Raw genomic sequence first — 24439 nt, 5'->3', positions numbered from 1 at the left:
GCCTCCCAAAGTGCTGGGATTACAGGCGTGAGCCATCGCACCCGGCTTTAACGTTATCTTAAACAAAAACTGCCCAAGCTGTCTGAGCATAAAGAAGAACATCAACTCATCAACTAAAACAATTAAAATTCCTAAGAAAAGAAAGTTATTTTGTAAAAATATTTTTAAATCCAAGGAAATAAGTACATTTTCATGGCCTAAAGTCTTGATGTTAGTAAAAATTTCTAATAATCACTACACTTATAAATATTTTATTTATAGCAGAATATGGTACAAAAACATTTTCTTTTAAAATTAAAAATAAAGATAATAGGTTTGCTTCCAGATGTCCAAAATGTTTAATAAACGATAACCCCAAAACCAAATCATAATTGAACTTGCATTTTAAATATGAAAATCTACACAGATTAAAGAAAAATGCAAAGCAGTTAGGGAAAACATACATGTATGTGACTTATTAAACAGAAGTTTTATTTTAAAAATTAGGAACTGCACTGAAGATTCTCAATGAGAAGGTTAAAGCCTGTTGCATCAAAGGTCATCTTCTCTGGGAGAACTTTTACAACCCTTTCTGCCCTTTGCAGCAGTTTCCCTGCAAGACATCCACCTTTATAACCTTATGTCCGGGGACACAGACCTAGCACTACACACTTTTCAGATGAGGACTTCACCCAGACAGGCTCAGGATCACCAGGGAACTTGGCGAAAATGCAGATCTCGAGGCCCTCCCCAGACCGTGTGAATAAGAAACTCTGGAGCAACTGGCAATTTGTTTGAATAGCCCTCCTGGTGACTGTGTGCTACAGTTGACAAAGCACTGACCCAGATCCAGGGTTCCTAAAGCTACCTGTGCATCAGCATCCCCCAGGGAGTACCCTGCGCAGTCCCACTGATTCCCGCTAGGCAGAGGGAGGCCCAGGAAGCTCTATGATCCTAAGTGTTCTTACTAGACAGTCTGGATCACTGAAGCAGGTAATCCGGAAGGGCTCTTCGAGGAAGAACTGACATGGGTTACGCCAATTTAGGTCTGACAGTTCTAGTTTGGCTCGGGCCTTTTCCAAGCCAGAGAGAACGGATGACAAAAGCATGATCATCACAAGCAGATGCCACGTCTTAGTGCACAGTCAATCCTTGTTCACAAGAGGCCCATGTCCCAGTCACTTTCACAGCACAGTGACAGGCATGCCAGCACGAAAGGCCAGCTACCTTACTCCTTCTGTACTCTGCGTACAAGCATTTATCAGTTTATTTTGGTGTTAAAGAGAGAAGTGACCTTATTTTCCAACACTTTGTCCCTGAGAGTACCTGAGTCTACCACAGAGCAGGCAGGCTCAGAGCTCCATGATAAAATAAACCCAAAATGAGAAGTAAAAAAGGTGGTGCCAGAAATAGCAATAGCAACTGTAGTTTATGGGTGAGGATGATGTGTCAAGATAAAAAATATCTCGGCTTCAGCATGCAGGACCAAAAGATGACTGTGCAGCCCCACTGGACTCCCCCTCTGTGTCCCTGAACAACAGAGGGCCCACTTTATTTGGCAGCCCATCCTGGTTTGGGTCACCTGGGACTGCACATTAAGCTGAAGCCTGCTTCCCCACCACTCTCCCTCGTGGATTCAGCAATGTGGTGAACGCACATAATTCACAAATCCCTCCATCCCACCAGGGCCTTTCCAATATATAAACAACTATTTACTGAGCCCCAAAAAGTGCGCCAGGCTGGGACTACTGCCAGAGACAGGACAACACCCACTCCCCACCATAAGCCCCTGATGTGTGCCCAAAGACCGCCATGGGGACAGCCCAAAGCTGCCCCTTTCATACTCTTCTGCCAGACTTGACATTTCTTGCGATGATACTGATGATACTCCATCTTTGATCCACTTTGGGGAAAGATTCTGTAACAGCAGGCATTTGCCATCTAGTGCAGTAAAGAGAGAAATCTTTGTTGATAAGCAAAGCTCAGCCAGCCTCAGTTCTAGAGACATCACACAGCATTTCAGGAGAAGGAGATCCTAGAGAAAACCCATCAGGGGCCTTCCACAGCCCCTCCCAGGTCTGGGGGGAAGGAGGATTTGACAGAAGTGACAGCCCGGGGGGAAGCACAAGTTGGGGCCACTGGGAGCCATCCCAGCAGGGAGACACCAGCCTGGGATGGCAAATGTCATAGGAATGCTCACTTCACCTTGCCAAGCTCAGGTGGGATAAGACCTCAGATTCCAGGAAAGGGAAGAACAGACTGGGGAGGATACCGGGACCCCAAGCTCTGGAGCCATTTAGACCCTGTCCCTCATCCACTCCTCCACTCCCCAAACAACCTGAAGAATACATCTTTGCACCAATGTCCCTGTTACTAAAGTGTGACCACAGTAACACAGACTGCAGCATTCCTCTGAGGAAGAAATGGGATAACCCCAAATGTCCTCCAGCAGTCCTCCACAGGCCCAGGGACTGAAAGGGCTGTCTGCCACCACACTTGTGACCACCCAACAGGCCCGGAGCAAACCATTTTCATGGCCCAGAACCAGCACCAAATCCCCTTGGAGGTTTTCTACTCAAAGAAATCATTCTTAATTTTTTTTCCCCTAGGACTCAATAAAACCTTTTATTTTGAATGTGAAAAAAGTACACAAATATTTTTTCTCACCTATCAAAATAAATAAATAAAGATTAAAACATTGCCCACTCCTGATTTAGACATTTAATATAAAAGTTTGAACAAAATAACTTCCATCTTCTCGGTGTAGAGTTTAAACACAACCAACTACCAGCCAAAAATGACACTAAGAAGATCTTTAGTTTTATCTTAAACCCTACCTTCTTTCCCAAAAATATGTGAGATATTTCAACAACAAAAAAAAATCAGGAAAACAGAAAATTAAAATTATAGTACCTAGAGAAAATTTAAGCATATAATACAGAGGTCAAGCTAGAGAAGAAACTAGTCAGAATTTCCTACCAACCTGCTATAGTTTCACCTCAATTTTGCCTAAGTTGACTGTTCATCTTTCTAATCAAATTACTTGCCTTGTAGGTTTTTGACATGTTGTTAAAGGTGTGTAAAGTGCAGAGTACACTAGGCAGTAATGCACGAGGTCCTCACAAAATCTCTACCAAAATACAGTGAGATGTCGTGTGGCCATCTCTGGAATATCCTTCAGCTGAAGCAGAGCCTGTGACAGACGTGAGGGCTACTCAGTCACGAAGGTGATTCCGAGGGGGTCTAACATAACTCCTTGCCACCTGTATGCTGCCTAGAGTCACTTACTACATACTTAGAAGACACAAGCTGATGGAAGCAAAGCCATGGATGGGCTACCTAAATCCTTGAAATAATCTTCCAGAACTAAATGTCATCCAAAAGACCAGGATGGCTAAAGAGTAGAAAGGAGAGCTCTACTGGCAATATTGGTTTGCTGGCGTGGAAGAGAAGATCTTGGGTGTGTGTCAAAGGTTCTCTTTCTTTCTTCAAAGATGGGAGGACTGCTCAGGTTTTATGCCTCACAGGGTCTGTATCACACGAGAGTCCTACACATTCCACAGGTTTGGAAGGAGCTGAGTGCGTGCACAGTGGGTAAACATATACGTAACATACATCTCGTGTTCACTTTGGGGTGAGGTTTTAGCATTAAAATGAGGTGGAATTTGGCTCTTTATGTCAAAAGGTGAACCATAGGAAACAGAGTTCCTGCGCAGTCTCTAAAAGCATGCTGAAACCGTTTAATGTCTGCAGTTGCTTATTAGAAAAGGATGCTCGAAAGGCCAGCGCTCTATCCAGTCAGAGTTGCAGTGGTCTGGGTGGCAAATGTGTTAGGAGGGGTTTGATAACTCCTACTGTTAGGGAGCTTAGAGCCATAGGAATTTAGAAATTTGCCATGCCAGCCAGGGCTCTGAACCCTCAATCCACAGGCAACGTTGTTTCTTTAACCTTAGGGTCTTTCTTAGTTGAGAAAAGGGCATCTATTTTGGTCTCTCAAATCAGAAAACAAACCTCCTCGATTGTAAAGAGCTCAGTAGATTCCTAACTCTTAGCTAGAGTTCAAAACACCTGACCAAAATGTAGACTTCTTTGCTTCTGTAAGGATGCCGCCAAACAGATACCATGTAGGCAAAGCTAGATGTTCTTTGAGAAATGTTTGAAGGCCACTCTAGTCCTTGGGCCCAGTACACCTCCCAAAGAACAGTGTCACGATAATTTTGTCCTGGAAATTTGTCAAAGCAGACATTGCCAAGCTTTCCACCGTAGCTGTAGAAAAATTTCACATAAATGAATTTTCTAAGTTGTGAGATATGAACAATTAAAGATAATGATTTTAGTTTTACAACAATTAAGCCATTCTTTATGGCAGGAGTTAGAAATCAGGTTTCAAGTGGAATCTTACCAAACCAGCAGAGCTGGGAGTGATATTCCTAGCCCAGTCCAGCACCCTACACACATGTGCCTCTAATGGTGCGCTACCACAGGGACTATGGTTTCATTTAAGCTGTTTTCCTTCCTCCTAGATGGAACTTTAAGATTACAGATGACATCTTATTAATCTTTACTCCCAGCACCTAGCACAGTGCCAGGGCATGTAAGTACTCCAGAAATGTATTCAATGAATGAGCCCCAGATCACTCAACAGAGTATGGCTCATGGGGCAGAACCTTCTAGAGCACTAAAAACCTGACCAAACCTGATCTCTTCCCAAATGAGGCTAGTGTATGTTCCCTCACATTCCTGAAATGAAGCAAACTCTATAGGAAGCTGGAGGACAGCTCAGGCTGTTCTTGACACAACCATCAAGAACTGAGAAACGAGACCGGGCATGGTGGCGCACACCTGTAATCCCAGCACTGTGGGAGGCCAAGGCGGGTAGATCACTTCAGGTCAGGAGTTCGAGACCAGTGTGGCCAACATGGTGAAACCCTGTCTATACTTAAAAAAAAAAAAAAAAACTAGCAGGGCGTCATGTTGCGCATCTGTAATCCCAGCTACTCGGGAGGCTGAGGCACGAGGATCACTTGAACCTGGGAGGCAGAGGTTGCAGTGAGCTGAGATCATGCCACTGCACTCCAGCCTGGATGACAGAGTGAGACACTGTCTCAAACCGAGTTTCACCAGCTACAGAGAGAGCCGTGCCATCAACCACAACTCAATGCTCTCTAAAATGCCTTCGACCTGATCAGAGGACACATTTCAAATGAGTTACGGAAATCCAAATATAAACCTACAGAAGTGTTCTGATTTTCTAGCCAAGTAACCCTATAAAAAGAAAAAAAAATGAGGTCAGTTTGGCATGATTTGTTCTTAGTAGAATTATTCTTGCTTTCAGTTATTACTACTTTCTTTCCTACAAGTACACAACCATCTGCTTCGCACTATGTTTTAGAATGCTGCCAAGGAGATGGAGCAAAATCAATGAATTACAGAGTCTAGAATGGCACCATCCCATGGAAATATAATGTAAGCCACAAATGTGAACCATATATGTTATCTTAAGTTTTCATGTAGACATATTTTTAAATCAAAGAATAGGTGAAGTTAATTTTGATAATATATTTAACCCAATAAATCCAAAATATTACCCTTTCAACATGTAATTAATATAAAAATTATTGAGTTATTTTACATTCTTTTCTCAAACTGAATCTTCAAAATCTGGCATGTTCTTACACTTTCAGGAGGACATCTCAATTCAGGCCAGGCACATTTCCAGTGCTGGGCAGCCACGTGTCCCGTGGCCCCTACACTGTACAGTGAAGGTCTAGGATTTCTTGGTACCTTCTGCAAAATCCAGGCATTTACCTCGATCCCAGTGCCTTTTGTGTTCTCCACAAACTCTCAGGTTATTATCAACAGTGGTACTTCGCTCCCATCTGCAAACTCCTTCAACACCCGAGATATAATCTACCTAAATCTCCAGATACAAACTACTCTCAAAGCAGCAGAGAGGTTTAAGACCAAAGCAGATATTCACAAGACTCCGCTGGCTGGAATGTGACTTACGTCCCCCTATCAAGTCCCCTGTCTAGTGGTCAGGCAGAGATATAATTTACGTCTGTGCATTCAAGTTACTTGAGCATCATAAAGATGGGGTTGTTTCTTCTCTTGTCTTTATTCAGAGGCAGAGAGAGCAGAGAGGAAGGAAAAGATGACCAAGGCCTGAACTAAGGTGGAGGGGTACCCAGAAATAGAGAGGAGCCAGACAGGAGAGGTATTTCAGGGTCAGATAAAGAAGAAAAACTAGGATGAGGGATGTCAATGGGGACTCGGGCTCTGGTGAGCTGCTGAGCATCAGCTGCAAGAACACAGTCTGCGGATACTGGCCTGTCTTCCACCTGCAGTGTGGAGGCCTCTCCCACTCATGGAGCTCATACCTGGTGTCAGCCTTAGTTCAGATGCACGGAGAAGTATTCATTGAGTCCCCTCCAAAATTACAGCTACAGAGGAGGAATCAGTTCTAGTGTTCCACAGCATTGCAGGGTGACTATAGTTAACAATAATTTATTACACACTTTCAAATAGCTAGAAGAGAGGATTCTGAATATTCCTAACATACACACAAAAAAATGTTTGATGTGCTGGGTATGCTAATTACCCAGATTTACTCATAACACATTAGATACATGTGTCCAAATACCAAGCTGTACACCATGAATATGTATAACTATTAGATGTTAATTAAAAATAACAATTGAAAAAATGCAGCCAGGCGCAGTGGCTCACGCCTGTAATCCCAGTACTTTGAGAGGCCGAGGAGGGTGGATCACTGGAGGTCAGGAGTTTGAGACCAGCCTGGCCAACATGGTGAAACCCTGCCTCTACTAAAAATACAAAAATTAGCCGGGTGTGGTGGGAGGCGCCTGTAATCCCAGCTACTTGGGAAGCTGAGGCAGGAGAATCGCTTGAACCCGGAAGGTGGAGGTTGCAGTAAGCCGAGCTGAGATCACGCCATTGCAATCCAGCCTGGGCGACAAGAGTGAGACTTTAAAAAAAAAAAAAAAAAAAAAAATGCAAGCTTTTCACGACTCCTACACTGTCATTTCATTAGACCACAGAGCTTCAATGAATCTATTAAACATCTATGAGCACAGATAAAAACTGCCTTGCTTGTAGCTATATTTGCTATTTTAGGCACGAGAAATTTACCTTCTTGTTGATAGAAAAAATATATCTTACAGGAATTTTGTTACTTTACGTATAAATATGTAAAGAAGAAAATAACACCTTCTGACGTAACATTCTATTTGCATTACTTTTTGTTACAAGTATTCCCAGCACCTAGCATAATGCCTAGGTGCCTTAGTCCATTGGGGCTTCTATAACAAAATTCTGTAAACTAGACAGCTTATAAACCACACAAATTTCTCACAGTCCTGGAGGTTGGAAGCCCAAGATCAAGGCCAGCAGATCCAGCGTCTGATGAGGGTCCCCTTCCTGGTTCCCAGGTGGCACCTTCTCACTGTCTTCTCACACAGCTGAAGGAGGAGGGGAGTCCTCTGGGGTTTCTTTTACAAGGGCACTAATCCCATTCATAAGGGCTCCACCCTCATCATCTAATCACTTGCCAAGGCCCTACCTCTGAATACCATCCCCTTGAGGATTAGATCTGAATATATGAATTCTGGGGAACCACAAACATTCAGACCATAGCAGAGGGATGGAGGGGTGGAAAAGTGATGGTAAAAAGAAAATGGGATGAAACCTCATTTTTCTTCCAAACTAAAAAGACGTATCTTTGTTCCACTGATGCTGCATCACCCGCGTCTGGTAGGAAACAGTGGGACCCACGTGATCCGATACACAAAGTGCATGGACAATTTCAACAATAGCAATGGACTCTAAAGCCATTTCTTAAAAAAGGCAACAGGACATTTCAGAGGGCTCATGAGGACAGAGCACCTGTGAGGGCAGTTCACTTCTGTTACACCAGGCAGTGACTTGGGGTTCAGACCAGAGAAGTGACGTTTTAAGAGATGGTGAAGGTGAAGATGACATTCCAGCTAAGAGAAGAGGCCCATGGGGCTTACAGTTACCCAGTACTTCAGGGCGAGGGAAGACTCGACTTCCACCCACCTAGGTAGCAGCATGGTGCCTGGCACATTGTAGGCACTGAAATACTGGTTGGCTAGGAAATGGCAGCGGTGTCAGTGACTAGGGACATCAATAATCACCATATCAGCTGACCAAAATGCAAACTCTGGTTTTGGAAAAATATATATATATATATATATATACCAATTAAGCCAGGCCCAGTGGCTCAGGCCTCAAGCCTGTAATCCCAGCACTTTGGGAGGCTGAGGTGGGCGGATCACCTGAGTTCAAAACGTAGAGATGCAGAAACCTTGTCACTACTAAAAACACAAAAATTAGCCAGGTGCGGTGGCACGTGCTTGTAATCCCAGCTACTCGGGAGGCTGAGGCAGGATAATCGCTTGAACCTGGGAGACAGAGGTTGCAGTGAGCCGAGATCGTGCCACTGCACTCCAGCCTGGGTGACAGAGTGAGACCCTGCATTGAAAAAAAAAAAAAAATCAATTAAGGGTGGACTTCAGGTCCTAATACTGAAATGTCCTTAGTGAGAAGTTTTAGCTTTATTACACTTGGACCCAGCCAGTTTTACCCTAGGAGGTCTAGATAAAACTCTTCCCTGGGGTTTAAAGACCCACAGTCAGCCTACTGAACCCTGCCATGGCCATAGCACTAGGGTGCCATGGCCACCCACTACTGTCACAGTCCCTTAGGCCTTATCCCAAGCCAGTGTCTGTAGTTGATTCTAGTCTCAAACTAACTCCTGGACCAAAGAGGAACAGATGAAGAGCCGTTGGAAAGTCCAGAGCATTCTAAACAAGTGAGTCTAAAAGTGAACTCAGAGAAATTATTAAGTTTTAGTTATATGCAACTGCTCAGTTCTTTACTACTTGACACCTAAACTCTCAGAAAGCAAAGCTAAAATTGCACATAAGCAGGAGCACATCAACTATTTCAACCATAAACTGACAGAGCCATCACGCAAGTACAAAATAGTGCCAGGAAATAGTAAGCATGATATAAGGATCTGCCTGAATAATAATATCATTGTCATTATTATTATTGTGATTGATTTCATGTGCTAATGGAGGAAAAGCCAGCTGTGAATGACAGTTTCTGAAAAAAAAATGATAAAGAGCCCTGTTCCTTCCTGATATCACCACGTTAGGCAATAAATGGTAGTTACCATCAAATCAAATAACTATCTTCTGTTATACCAGAAAATGTTATTTTCAAGTTTCAGAACACTTCTTTACCTAGTCAAAATCTGAAGAGTAAATAGGAATGAAACCTCTAAATAAGATGTAATTGTACGAAGTAACTGCCATCACTTTACACCTGAATGTAAGTTTTGTTGGGGATAATTCATAAAATGGAGACTCAGACTTGGTAAAAGTAAGAGATGCTAACGGCTGTAATAGTCATCTCCATGTGCACCTTACAGAGACCACACAGATTAGGGAGGAAAGGGGTATCAACGACACCACTGTTTTTGTTTCATAGACAATGTTCACCATGGAAAAATACACAGGCATACCTTGCTTTACTGCACTTCACTTTAACATGCTCCAAAGATAATGTTTTTTTACAAATAGAAGGTCTGTGGCAATTCAGCATCAAACAAGTTCATCAGTGCCATAAGTATGTGCTCACTTCTGGTCTGTGTATCACATTTTGGTAATTCGCACAATATTTTAAACTTTTTCGTTATTATACCTGTTAAGGTGATGTGTGATCAGGGATCTTCAATGTTACCATTGTAATTGTTTGGGGCACTACAAACCGTAACCACAAAAGATAGCAAACATAACCAATAAATGTATGTGTTCTGACTGCTCCACTGACTGCTCCCCGCCCCTGCCCCAATCTCTTCCTCTGCTCAGGCCTCCCTATCCTCTCAGACACAACAATATTGACATGAGGCCAATTAATAACCCTACAAAGGCCTCTAAGTGTTAAAGTGAAGGGAAGAGTCACACATCTCTCACTTTAAATCAACCGCTATAAATGATTTTGCTTAATGAGGAAGGCATGTCAAAAGCCACGACAGGTCAAAACTAGGCCTCTTTAGCCAAACAGTGAACCAAGTTGGGCATGCAAAGGAAAGTTCTTGAAGAAAACTTAAACTGCTACTCCAGCTAACTCACAAAGGATGAGAAAGCAAAACAGCCTTATCGCTTCTCGGGAGACAGTTTTAGTGGTCTGGATAAAAAATTAAACCAGCCACAATATTCCCGTAAGTCAAGGCCCAATCCAGAGCAAGGCCTTAACTCTCTTCAATGAAGGCTGAGAGAGATGACAGAGCTGCAAAGGAATAATTGAAAGCTAGCAGACGTTGGTTCATGAGGTTTGTTTGTTTGTTTGAGATGGGGTTTTGCTCTGTCGCCCAGGCTGGAGTGCAGTGGTGCGATCTCAGCTCACTGCAATCTCCGCTTCCCGGGCTCAAGCAATTCTCCTGCCTCAGCCTCCCATGTAGCTGGGACTACAGGCACGCACAACCAGGCCTGGCTAATTTTTGCATCTTTAGTAGAGACAGGGTTTCGCCATGTTGGCCAGGCTGGTCTTGAACTCCTGACCTCAAGTGATCCACCCACCTTGGCCTCCCAAAGTGCTGGGATTACAGGTATGAGCCAGTGTGCCCGGCAGTTCATGAGATTTAAGGAAAGAAGCCATCTCCATAACATAGAAGTGCAAGGTGAAGCAGCAAGTGCTGATGTAGAAGCTGCACAAGTTATCTAGAATATGGAGCTAAGATCATTGATGAAGATGGCTACAACTAGACAACAGGTTTTCAGTGTAGACAAAATGGCCTTATATTGGAAGAAGATGTCATCTAGGACAGGGGACCCCAATCCCTGGGTTTAGGAACTAGGCTGCACAGCAAGAGGTGAGTGGCAGGCAAGCAATCCATCTTCTGTCAGATCAGTGGAGGCATTAGATTCTCAAAGGAGCACGAACCTTATTGTGAACTGTGCATGCAAGGGATCTGGGTTGCGTGCTTCTTAGGAGAATCTAATGAAAAATGTAATGAGCTTGAATCATCATGAAACCATCCCCCTCCCCCACCCCATCCCCCAGTCCGTGGAAAAACTGTCTTCCACAAAACTGGTCCCTGGTGCCAAAAATGTTGGGGACTGCTGGTCAAAACTTTCATAGCTAGAGGGAGAAGTCAATGTCTGGCTTCAAAGCTTCAAAAGACAGGCTGACTCTCTCATTAGAAGCTAATGCAGTTGGTAACTTGAAGTTGAAGCCAATGCTGACTTACCATTCTGAATGTCCCAGGGCTCTTAAGAATGATACTAAGTCTACTCTCTCAGTGCTCTACACAACAAAGCCTGGATGACAGCACATCTGTTTACAGTATGATCTACTGAATATTTTAAGACCATTGTTGAGACCCACTGCTCAGGAAAAAGATTCCTTTCAAAATATTACTGCTCAATTACAATGCCCCTGGTCACCCAAAAGCTCTGATAGAGATGTACAAAGACATAAATGTTGTTTTCATGCCTGCTAACACAACATTCATTCTGCAGCACATGGATCAATGAGTAATTTCAACTTTCAAGTCTTATTACTTAAGGAATACCCTTTGTAAGGCTATAGCTGCCATAGATACTGATTGCTCTGATGTATCCAGGAAAAGTGGAAAAGTAAATCAAAAACCTTCTGGAAAGGATTCACCATTCTAAATACCATTAAGAACGGTCATGATTCATGGGAGGAGATCAAAATATTAACATTAACAGGAGTTTGGAAGAAGTTGATCCCAACTCTCATAGATGACTTTGAGAGGTTCAAGACTCCCATGGAGGAGTAATTGCAGATCCGGTGGAAATAGCAAGAGAACTAGAGTTACAAGCGGAGCCTGAAGATGTGACTGAATTGCTGCAATCTCATGATAAAACTAACAGATGAGGAGTTGCTTATTATGGATGAAAAAATAAAGACTCATTTCTTGAGATGGAATCTACTCCTGCTGAAGATGCTCTAAACACTGTTGAAAGGACAACAAACAATTTAGAATATTACATAACTTAGTTGATAAAACAGTGGCAGGGTTTGAGAAGACTGACTACAATTTTGAAAGTTCTACTATGGGGAAAGTGCTATCAAACAGCAACACATGCTCTAGAGAAATCTTTGGTGAAAGGAAGAGTCAGTTGATGCAGCAAACTTCATTACTGTCTTATTTTAAGAAACTGCCACAGCTACCCAAACATGCAGTAACTGCCACCCTGATCAGTCACCAGCCATCAACACTAAGGCAAGAACCTCCAGCAGCAGAAAGAGTATGACTTGCTGAAGGCTCAGATGATCATCAGCATTTTTTAGCAATAAAGTATTTTAATTAAGGTATGTACATTGTTTTCTTAGACAATGCTATTGCACACTTAATAGACTACAGTATAGTTTAAGCATAATTTTTATATGCACCCAGAAACCAAAAAATTCAAGTGACTCACTTTATTGTAATACTCACTTTATGGTGGTGGTCTGGAATCAAACCCACAATTTGTCTCCAAGGTATGCCAGTAGATACTGTCTTCATTGTGGATGAACTTACTGTCTTACAGAAGATACACTCACAAAACCAAGAATACACCAAAAATGCTGCCATCAATTGGTTCAATAAAGGAAGTGTTGGTCAGGAAGGAAAAAGTATGATGTTGCTAGCACTACTGAGAAAGACTTTGTAGAGAAGCAGGACTTAGAGAAGTGGTACCTGGTGTTAACACTCTTGGAGTCAGCTCATTTAAACCAACTTGGGAAGTATACTTTTACAAAAATGTTTTAACAAAACCTGACTCTGATTGTATTACAGATATGTGATTGTTAATTTTATGTGTCTACTTGATTGGTCTACTGGGGTGCCCAGATATCTTGTTAAACATTATTTCTGGCTGTACCTGTGGGTGTTTCTGGAGGAAATCAGCATTGAATTGATGGACTGAGTAAAGGAAAAGGCCCTCCCCAATGTGGGTGGGCATTATCCAACCAGTAGAAGGCCCAAATGGAACAAAAAGGTGAAGAAAGATTGAATTCTCTCTGTCTCTCTCTCTGTCTCTCTCTTTCTCTCTCTCTCTCTCTAGCTGCTTAGCTAATACATCTATATTTTCCTGACCTTATACTAGAACTTATACCATTGGTTCTCCTGGGTCTCCATCTTGGAGACAGCAGATCATGGGACTTCTCAGCCTCCATAATCATGTAAGACAATTCCTTGTAATAAATCTCTTTTTTTCTATGTATATTCTATTGGTTCTGGTTCTCTGGTTCTCTCACTAATACAAGGTATATGTGAATAATTAATACCATCTGGTAAAATGAAAAGTCCAAAGAAAATGAAGATACTTAAGTATCTCTGGCACAAAACGTATAAAGGTATTTGCTAATATGCCGGTATGCTTAATTAAAGGGCCCTGCGATTTGGTCCCTTTATGGATAACTCACAGTACCTAAACAGCAGCATGCTTCACACTGAAATTACTCAGAAAAAGGCTGGTAGAGATAACAACCAGGGATGAACAATCAAAACAGTTCGATCTTGTAACGCTAGTGAATCCTGGAATGAAAAATACCTGTAAGAAAAATCAAACAAGCAAATCAGGCCACATGAGTTAAAACACATGTCACATTGAGGCAAGGGCAGAGCCACTTCTAACTGGAAAAACAGGAAATGCTATGTGTATACTGAACACTAGGCCCCTTTCTCACACACACACACACACCTGCACACACTAGCTCCATGACAAGTGTGGCACTTTCACTGCTTCCATGGAAAATTCATTTGAAGTCAATTTCCAAATAATACAGGCAGACCACAGATATTCTCTGGCACTACCTAAAAGAACATTTCAACTACCCACAAAATATATATTTATATGACTGTACTACTCTCCACCAATAAGAGAGGAACATACAGATTCACTAAGAAGAACTAGAAAAAAAAATCTTCATTAAATTAAGGAACTAAGTTACTAGGCAGGCAGTCTATCCCCGCAAAAACTGTGGCCACTTTACCAAAACATTATAAAACGGTTTATGGTTACACACCCGGGTGCATGTTGCAGGTTGGAACAAAGCCAACAGAAGCTGTGAAGAGCACCCATGACTAGTCATATTAACAACCCACACAATGATTTCTCTTCTTCTATCATTGTCACTAAACAAGAATAAAATGTATTGGGGGGAAAAAATCTGATTTTAAAATCACAACATTCCAATAAATGATCATTTGAAAGGACACTGGCTAGGGATAGATTAAAGGAATTTTTTTTAAATCCCCAACTCACAGTCAACTGTACAATGAACCTCCCAACTCTCACCTTGTTTTAACTATGTGGTAAAAACACACAAGCGTAATCAGGATTCACTGGTATTTCCCAAAATTGCTGAATGCCCAATTTCCAAATGTCTCTTTTTGACCAAGAGTAGAAATGGTGGCCCCCGTGGTAGCCAGAGAAAGTAAACTGACTAACATGTCTGGGCACGTGTGTGACTAAATATATATACACATCCATGAATGTGGAGTGTCTACAAAAGGATTGAAGATAAATCTTGGCATTTTATTCATTAAACTTCACCCAAGGATTGTAGTCAACAAGCAAAAACTGTGCAAGATTAAAAGCCTGAAGAAGAATACACAAATATTCTTATTTCTAAAATGAGTATGATTTCCTGTTGAAAAATACAAACAGCATCAAAATCAATGTACTAACAAAAGTCATTACAATGAGATGTGATATCATAAGTAACATAAAAGAACTTAGCAGAAACTGAGACAATAATCTACCATCCATCATCCATCATCCATCTGGCAGCTTCCCCTATACTCAAACTAAATGGAAACACTCCACCCCAACCCCAACTCCGCTGTGGTCCATAAGGCCCTGCTGACCTGGTTCCTTGGCTGCTATCTCCTGTTCCTCACAAGGGCAGGTTCTGCCTGTCACAGGGCCTTTGCATGGGCCATCCTCAATGCCCAGAGACCTTGCAGAGGTCATTTTATAAATAAGAATTTTTAAAATAAATACTCGTTTTATAAATAAGAATATTTGTGTATTCTTCTTCAGGCTTTTAATCTTGCACAGTTTTTGCTTGTTGACTACAGTCCTTCGGTGAAGTTTGATGAATAAAATGCAAAGACTTATCTTCAAACCCTTTTGTAGACACTCCACATTCATGGATGTGTATATATATTTAGTCCCACACATGCCCAAACATGTTGCCTTCTTTTCACTGAAGTCAGCTCTAAAGTCCTCAGTAAAGCCCTCCCAGACCACCAAGCCCAGATGGAAAAGTGGCCCCCATTCTCGACTGCACTTATTACTGCCTTAAATTCGCTTTTCATTTATTCATTTAATTTATTATCTATTTTCCCACTTTACACAATAAAGCCTCAAAGAGGAAGGAACCTTGTCTTTCCTGACTGATGTTTATTCAAAGTACCTGGCACACAATACGTCCTCTATCAATATCTGTTTAATATAATCATCATAGTAGAGGAACTTAGTAAACTATGTTCTTTTGCATAATTACTTATTTTTTATTTATATTAAGTTCCAGTTAATGGGACAAAAAAAAAATCACTGGCGAGAATGATCGTTTTGAAGGCTATATGTGATTCCTCCTAAAAAATAAAATTAAAAAGATGAAATAAACTTCTAATGGGGCTGTGAGGAAAAAAATGTTTTGCATTACAACACAACCACTCAAAAATTTCCCATATGTCTGTGAATTGTATTTTTAAAAGCCTCATCTGGAACTGGACAATTTCAAAACCCATTGATCTTGCCCTGATGTATAAAACATACCACAGAATTCTTCTGATTCTTCCAGAAACCTGTCTACCAAATGACATACTGTTTCCTTTTGCTTAGGTATTCATTTTTGAACTTCTCTCTAAAGTGTTTACAATTTTAAAGTCATAGATTTAATGCCGGTTTAAAACTGTTTAATCATCCACATGTTCACTATTTTTATCACCAAACATACTGAGCAAAGAAAGTAATTTGCTTCACCTACTAAAGTTTCCTTTAAAACAACAACAACAACAACAAAAAACAAGGCTTATGTCTTTGAATGCCAGTTTCTTATGGGAGTTTCCTTATGAGACGAACTGTAAAATGTGAAAAACGTAAAAATCTCACTCAATCCCTTCTTCCCATAAGTATAAGGAAATCTAAGATGTCAAAATGACATAGGCATGATTTAAGTTCATTAATTTTATATTACAAAAGGATCATTCAGAAACAAACTCAGGTTGTTTTAAAACAGGATGAAAAAGAATTCTGCAACAGTGGAGAAGCCTTATATCTTAATTATCTGTAATCGTTTGGATGTTAACATTCACAAAGAATGAAAAACTAAGTTTCCTACAACTATTCCCCAAAATCTTTCATGCAAATCATCCCATAACTTATCCTTTCAAAGTCTAGAGTTAATGCTACATTTAGCTTCTTTGAGAAACACTTTGGGTATAATATGTGTTTTCTTCTGAACAATTCCCAAATATTACATTTTTGTATTTCTATAATGTTTTCAGTACAAAAAAATCAACATTAAAAAATTATATTAGGCTCTGCCTAAAGTCTAAAATAAAATAAATGAATATATGAAATGAAGATTTGATTCAATGTTTCCAAAATCATCATAATCCCCTCTGATGTACTTAAGTGATCAAAATGAATAAACCTCCTTTAACCTAAGGGAAAGAAAGTCACTTGGCATAGGGGGAGCTGTGCTGCTCTCAGAACACCTGAGCAACGAAGCCAAAAACAGACCCAACATTCTTTATTACTTCTAAATCTAAGACATTTTTATCAGAGTCTACATAGTTCAAAGAAGCTAAATGTGCCATCTCTCTCCTCAACCTTCCTAAAACAAGTGATCTTTAACAAGGTATTGTGAAATCTTAAAAGGTTTCCCCTGAAAACTAAAAGTGGCGTACCTTTTCTCATTTTAGACTCTTTGATAATCAAATGTTAACCACAAAATTCAAAGTATGTCAATGAGTTATAGAGAAGAGATTTGTTGACATCAAACCTGAAAAGAAGGTATGAAACACAAACACTTCCAGCAACTGAATGTACAAGGCAGAAGTTATTCCTCCTGGCATGACAGAAAGATTCATGGGGTCTGGAGACACACACACCTTGCTACATATTAGCTATGTGACTCAGATAAGTCACTTCCCTTCACTTGTATTATAGAAAGGGGATAACAGCACCTACTCTCTCTTAGAGGAGACACCACACCCACCATCAACCATCGAGGATTTTGCTGGTCCCAGAGCCAGCCCTTAGAGATAACTGTTATTATGAACCAGAAAATCCTTTTTCTGAGTGTACTAGATTTCTAGCCTTGGTGTCTGTACTGAATAGAATGAATGTATTTTTCTTGGATGAGTCATGACTTTGCAACACTTCAGTCTTCATCCTGAATATCAATTCTCACTGCATCATACCAGGAGCCAGAAGAATGATGCAAATCAAAGTAAATGAGAATTGGCCCTAGGAAGTTGTTTTCTTAAATAAATTCAAGATGCAAGTAGGTTTCTGATCATTTGTTTCTCTCTCCTAAAAAGTTAAGTATGAAAAAAAGTTCAGATTAGTTGGAGATCTCTAGGCTCAGCTGATCAATCTGACTCTACAATGGGAAAATAAAATAAAGTGAACAGTTTCATAATAATATTTTTACAAGCAATGTTTGTCTAGCACCTAAAATGCGATGGCTTTCAGACAGAAAAATGGCCAATAGTCTACAAATGTTGAACATATAAAGTACAAATTTAAAAACAAACTGTATTCCCAAAAAGATTGTTGGACAGTGTCTGGTTGGTAAGAGTATGTTTTGGGGGGCAGCAAACAATGGGATTGCTAAATTAATCCCTGGGATTCTACTAGACCATACATATGCCTCCTCCACCAGCCTTGTCCACAGCACCATCTACTGCCAAGCCACTGTGCCTACAGCAGTTTTGCTTCTGCAGGGCCCTAAGAGTTAATACCATGCCTTCGCTTAGCTAAGTTATTTAGGAATCACGATTTTTTAAAAAGTCACTTCAAAGTTAAAGGGGAAAGGAGAACATGAAATAAGAGTAAACTCCTGACAATCATTTAAAATATCTAAATAGGAAACACAATCTTTGGTTACTAACACATGGCAAATAAGTAGTTTTAAATAAGTGAGTTTTCTTATCTTAGCTAGTTAGGCTATAAATCCTGCTCTAAAATATTTTAAAGCATGAAAAAGAATTAAATGCTCTGGTTGTTGTATATACAGTAGACATATTTATCTTTTATCATCTTTTAACACTGTGAGAGTTACTTAACTCTGCTGTACCAACGGTTCTTTCCATTGGGAATTGGAAGTGGGATTCTAAACCTAGAGAACAAGGGAGTGCAGGGGAGGTAAGGAATGGGGTTCAGAGCCCAGGTCTTCCCTAATGTGGAGGCCTCTCTTTAAACAATTAGGCTCTTAAAGACAACCAGGTCTCCTTATGAAAGGCACCAGGGCATGACTGGGTTCAAGACTGATGTCTTGCCCTTAGAGATCCAATATATAAGATGAATTAAATCAACCCTCACCATGCATAAGGATACGCAGAGAAGCCTGTCAGTCATAGGCATAATAACAACCCAACCTCAGCCCTGATCTAAAATTAAAACCACAGACTTAAAATAGATCATGACCTAACAGATCAGAATTTTAAAAATCAAAACGACCATTTTCCAAACAGAAAATAACACATAGCTTGATAAGAAAAATTAAAAGTAATATTAGCTGACACCTAGAACTATATGCAAGGCACTGTTCTAAGCACTTTATGTCAGGCTAACAAGGCACCAACCACCTCTCTGTTCAATTAGTGACTTTACATGTACAATCTATAGTAATACTACAGATTAAATACCGTAGGGTAAACCAATGGGATGTTATCAGTGAAGGATTCTAGTTTACCATTAACTCACCTTTATTCTAGAATAACTATGCTTAATAAATAGCTTACCTGAATGACCAGGGGTTGTGATGTCACAAAAATGAGTACAAGAAATTAATACAAGTATCTTCCCAGAAATCACTACGTGTAAACTGGGGGGAAAATAATAAATACCTTCTTCACCAACAAAGGAAACGAAGAAAATGGAAGTCCTACTATCCATACTGCAAAAATGCTTATTCTACTATCATATTCCCTTTTGAGAAATAGACCAGTTACGCCAGAAGTGCAATGTTGTCACAGATGTGTGCCAGATTTTGCAGAGGACATAAGTTGGCTGTGAGGAAGAACACAGAGGTTGCCTATTTTTTAGGCAGGAAAGAAAGCCTGCACTTTTCTGTGTGTGTGTGTCAATAAATCTGAATAACAACTTGAAAGGGTTAAAAAGCTGAGCACCAGGTGTTTTCTTTCCACTTTCCAGAGTAATTTAAGCACACTGCAAAGTTATCTCCCTTCCTTCCCCACGAGCCAGCTTAAGGGAGACCTGTCACTGCCATTTACACTGTACAGCTCCAGCTCTAAACAATAGGAGGGCACCAGGCTGGGCAGCAGGCATCGCGGCTTCCCACAGCCTGTATGGGCTTTGTTGCCAAGTTATGAGCTCCGCTGGGTGATGGAGACACGAGTGAGCCAAGGAGAATTTAATTCTATTTCAAATCTGTATGCTTTCAAAGAAAATAGAGACAATTGAGGCCACGGGAGGAGCTGGAGGGGGTAACCAAAAACAAACTTTCGGAACCTCAGAATCTACATTTCTAGCAGTAATTCTCAGCAAAGGATTAGGTGGTATTGATACTCTCATAAAGTATTTAACACCGAGATTAGAGACCATTCAGGAGCGGTGGCCGAGCGGAGTCCCCATCCTTCGTAGTCCCACTCCTCCAGCAGCAACCGGCGGCGCGCTTTCGGAGCCCACCTCCGCTCCGCAGCGCGGCCAGCTTCCCCCCGCCCTGGCTCCAACCCCGGCTCCAGCCCCGGCCCCGTGCCCAGCCTCCTAGCCGAGCCCGGGACGTGCAGCCAAGCCGAGCGCAGAGGGGGCGCGGGGCAGGCAGCGGCGCTGCGCCTCCCCCGGCAGCCCAGAAAGCCGGACGGGGTCCGCCTGGGCCAGTGAGGCCGGGCTCAACGGAGACCCGGGCCGGGCGGGGAAGCTGCAGGCGCAGAGCCGGCTTAGCTCCGCGCCGCCTGGCCGCGCGCAGCTCCCGCATTGTCCGCAGTCGGGGCGCGGCGCGACCACTGAACCCGAATCCCAACCCCCGCCCAGCAGTCTCTCTCCCGGCCCCCACGGCCCAGTCTTACCTGGGCCGCTCACCCCAGTCCCTGGCGGTGCGGCCCGAGCCGGGAGCCAGGCTCCGGGGGACTGCAAGGAGGGAGAGTCGGGGCCCGCGAGGGACGAAGGGCCGAGAGCGGGCTGTAGGGGCCGCCGAGTGTTCACGGTCGCCGCCGCGGGGCCGCGGGTAGAGAGCAGACGGGGCTGGCGGAACGGGCCCAGGACGCGCGGCCGCGAAGGGCCCGGCTGGCGGCGGCCGCGATGGTTCGGTCTGCACCGAGTGGGAGGGCTCAGGCAGGCTTCGCCGGAGAGTGAGGGAGGGAACTTGGAGCCAGTTGCTGTGGCCGAGAGCGCGTGTCCCTGAGCCAGTGTACACGCCCCTCGTACACCCCGCCCCGCCTCCATCCCGCCCCCACCCCACCTTCCGGGTCCCCACCCTTCTCGCACCTCCACTCCAAGCCCTGCCTCTCTCTCAACATCTCCACCCCGCTACTGATGCCCATCCCACCCCATCCCTGACCCACCCCCCATTCCACTCGGTCGGCGCCTCCATTTCCTCCCTATCCCCCACTCCCACCTATGTCCGCACGCAAGCACCCCCACCCTGCTCCCACCCGGTGATACCGCTGGATCTCGGACTGCCACCCCAGTGCAGATCGCTCAGCACTGGAGACGTAGAGCCTGTGCCCTGAATGAGATAACCCCACCTGGTAGTCCAGCCATCCAAACGTCTTGGTGCTTGACATTTTCTGTTTACTAACTTTCATATACTCAGATGGAGCGTCCTAGCTTAATTTCTGAAGGCATTTTTAAGACTTCAAAAAAATGTTTGGAGAAAATAGTAAATAACGAAAAATATCAAGCATGATGTACTACCTCTGAAATGTGGGCCAGCTGATGTTTTAAAATGAAATGCTTTGGGGTGCGTCATTATTAATCGCCTAATATAGTATTTGAGAATACTTTCTGCTTAGATTTGCTTAATAACTTGGTTGTTTCAGGAGAGGATTTGTTTTAGGAAGACTAAACACATTGTAATTTAATTTTGCTATTGGGAAGTCTAAAAGATAAAATCCATCTTTATCAAAATGAATTTGAATGGGATATGGACTCACAAAATAATTGTTTCTTCTAGAAAATATTGAGCAAGGATTTCTTTTTAATCTCTGGTACATTAACAATACGATTTCACTCATCTCATTTTCTCAGAAAGATCGTTTATATTTGAATTGTGCTTCAATTCAATGAATCTATTGTTTCATAATAGTTAAGAAGTTGCCAACTAAATAAAACTCAGACTTTATAATAATATATTTTTTTTCTATTTAAAGATTACCATTTTAAGAAAGTGACATGATACTGGGATTTAAATGGAACTTTCCTTTGGCATACTAATACATTCCTTGTTATCACAGATTACGTTGTGGTCTCCATTAACTCCAAAAGTCATATAACAATAGAAATAAACTATTTTTCATCATTCCCATAGCAAATGGAACCAACTTCTCTCCCTCTCAAGTATACTTTTTTTCCCCACTTCTTTGCCCCAATCCCTTCCTTTTAGGAATTTCCCCCTCCCATTGGGTGTGACTAGCCCACAGAGCTTCCTGACATTGTGAGGGATATGACCCAGGCCAGCCAATTAGAATATCGTCTGAGAACAAAGGAGGAGGGTCCTTTCCCTGACTGACAGGGCAGCTCCTGGGACCATATCATATATGCGTGCAGCAGCTGGAGTCAACTTACTGGAGAATAAAACAAAACCAGAAAAAAAGCCAAACTGAGCAATGGAGACAGAAAAGTGCCCTGATGACATCAATGGCCATCCGAAGACAGTCACCTCTAAAACCAGTCAAATCCTGAACTTCTGAAGTAATGCACCAATAAATTGTCTTTCTTGCTTATGCCATTTTGAGTTAAGTTTCTTTCCAGAAGACTCACTTATAAAATCATAAAAGATTCCCCTATGATCGATGCTTTGAAAATCAGGAATGTAACCAATGAGTTTTAGCTTTCTTTCTTTTTTTTTTTTTTTTTTTTTTTGATGACAGAGTCTCACTCTGTCACCCAGGCTGGAGTGCAGTGGCATGATCTCCACTCACTGCAACCTCCACCTCCTGGGTTCAGCAATTCTCCTGCCTCAGCCTCCCGAGTAGCTAAGATTATAGGCACGGGCCACCACGCCCAGCTAATTTTTGTATTTTTAGTAGAGACGGGATTTTGCCATGTTGGCCAGGCTAGCCTGGAACTCGTGACCTCAGGTGATCCACCTGCCTCAGGCGCCCAAAGTTCTGGGATTACAGACGTGAGCCACTGCGCCGACCAAGTTTTAGCTTTTCTATTGCCTAAACTACTTCTTGATAATAAAGTATATGCCAAGGAGTTCACTTAGTAGGACCCCTAACTCTTATTATTAAGGTTCTCATTTAGGGTTTTACTATTGCCCAGTGTAGATTTAATAGCCCCAAATTGTCATCACCAAAACCAAAAACCAATAAAAGATGTGGTTAAAGAGACAGAGAGAACACAGTAAAACATCTATGCTGGAATATTTCAGTAAATATTGTCTTATCAATTATGCCAATAAAACTGCTCTCATAATCCCTAATGTTTGCTGATTTAGGACATAGTTTTCTTGTTTTGGGGACTGAAAATGTTAAGGACTGCTACAGATTTTCAGAGAATGTTGAAATTAGTTGTTTGTACTAGAATTTTATTGTGTTGTTTATTCTTCAGAAGTGGGCCATTATCCTAGGCTTGGAATTCTTTTGTTTCACAGAGGTTTCTGTCTCTAAAAGTATGTAACAATATTTGACTAGTACCCAAACAAGCATCCATACACGAATCAGAATGTAATTTAACCATTATTCACAGGTGACTCTGGACAGTGGGACTATTCCTAGCAAGCAGGGAGCCTAGGGACATGCAGTTATTAGCTCTAATCCTCTGACTGCCAAAATGGTTTCTTACGGGAAAATGTGAGCTTGAAAAGACATGAGCTCAGAGTTTTCACTAGTCTTTCTCCAGATGGGTACGTACCTAAGTTGTGTCAACAACTAGGGAAACTTTAAATGTATAAAAGCCCGTAAGCTGAATAATAACATATTATAAACAGATGCAAGCCTCACAAAAGGAGAGCATCTCTGAAAACAAAACAACCAAAGCAGCTTCAGAGGAAAAGTAAAAAAATAAAGAGTTCTGGAATCCAGTCCCCGCTCCAAGTGGCACTTGTTCTAATGATTGGCTATGCCAGGGAAAATGTCAGTCAAATATCCAGAGTACCCCCAGCATGCCTGTATTGGATCAGTGGGATGCTTGTACCCATTTTCTTGCCTAAGAGTGGTACAGCAGTCCCTCAATTAACCCAGGGTCAGTCAGACCACCCTGTCTGTCCAGAGCTCCCCCTGAAATCCTGGCATACATCAGCGGTTTTCAGACCACGAAACACAATCACCTGCAGTACTCCCAACTAATGCCAGGTCTCTAGGTTGAGGGAGAACGGATAGGCCTGTGTTGTTTTTTTTTTAAAAGATCTGCCCAAGAGATTGTAGCGATCTGGCAGGGCTAAGGTAAACAAAGTCTGTGAATCTGTGCTCTTAATTCCACAGAAAAAGACTTGAGAACCCCTCAGCCCTCAGATCAGACTCCATTGTCTTAGAATTGTATGTAAAATTAAAGTTATTGATTGAACAAGCTCAATTTGTCTTTTCCCCTTAACAACCATAGTTCTTCTGAGGAAATAGAAAAAAGCAGCGAGGAATGCACCTTAGGAGGAGCTGGAGGATTTGCTAGAAGCAATCACACTGAAAAAAGGCAGCTCACAGCAAGGCTGAGATAAGAGAGTCACTAAATAGAAAAGCATTGTCAGTTGCTGGACTAAGAGGCCACTCCACTCCATCCTGGGCAACAGCCCCTGGGGGTTCCCTCATGTTGCTTGTTTCTCAGCGTAGTGCATGTTCAGGCTGGCGACCAGAAGATCAAAACGATCGAATTATGTTCTTGAATGCTGACCTCCATCATTTAATACTAATAACTACCATTTATTGAAACTTTGTGCTAGCAGTTTATATGTTTCATTTTCATTTTCAGTGGTCACAACGGCCCTAAATGTACATAATATTGATTACCATTTTATGAACAAGAAGTTCATGCCC

General features: G+C 42.0%; 1 protein-coding gene across 2 annotated transcripts in view, besides 4 other annotated features; it reads right to left on the bottom strand.

Annotated features, from left to right (window-relative positions):
* FAM110B (family with sequence similarity 110 member B) overlaps positions 1-20598 on the bottom strand; it is a 154262-nt gene extending 133664 nt beyond the window's left edge. For both annotated transcript variants that reach the window (NM_147189.4, NM_001377989.1), the window contains exon 1: positions 20315-20598. The gene's annotated coding sequence lies outside the window, so the exon portion shown is untranslated. The remainder of the gene's footprint in view (positions 1-20314) is intronic.
* Positions 501-1001: an enhancer, noted in NCBI's record as "NANOG-H3K4me1 hESC enhancer chr8:58926679-58927179 (GRCh37/hg19 assembly coordinates)". NCBI's record gives its function as "activates a minimal SCP1, AML or CMV promoter by ChIP-STARR-seq in naive H9 embryonic stem cells {active_cell/tissue: H9 hESC(naive)}" and the evidence as "EXISTENCE:reporter gene assay evidence [ECO:0000049][PMID:30033119]".
* Positions 19647-20147: an enhancer, noted in NCBI's record as "H3K27ac hESC enhancer chr8:58907533-58908033 (GRCh37/hg19 assembly coordinates)". NCBI's record gives its function as "activates a minimal SCP1, AML or CMV promoter by ChIP-STARR-seq in primed H9 embryonic stem cells {active_cell/tissue: H9 hESC(primed)}" and the evidence as "EXISTENCE:reporter gene assay evidence [ECO:0000049][PMID:30033119]".
* Positions 20152-20201: a silencer, noted in NCBI's record as "silent region_19214". NCBI's record gives its function as "represses an Ori minimal core promoter by ATAC-STARR-seq in GM12878 lymphoblastoid cells {active_cell/tissue: GM12878}" and the evidence as "EXISTENCE:reporter gene assay evidence [ECO:0000049][PMID:35858748]".
* Positions 20222-20271: a silencer, noted in NCBI's record as "silent region_19213". NCBI's record gives its function as "represses an Ori minimal core promoter by ATAC-STARR-seq in GM12878 lymphoblastoid cells {active_cell/tissue: GM12878}" and the evidence as "EXISTENCE:reporter gene assay evidence [ECO:0000049][PMID:35858748]".
* Positions 20599-24439: the final 3841 nt, after the last annotated feature.

Source organism: Homo sapiens, chromosome 8, assembly GCF_000001405.40.
Source record: "Homo sapiens chromosome 8, GRCh38.p14 Primary Assembly".
NCBI lineage: Eukaryota > Metazoa > Chordata > Mammalia > Primates > Hominidae > Homo > Homo sapiens.
Note: the sequence above shows the minus strand (reverse complement) of the source record. Positions and strands in the feature narration are given on the sequence as shown.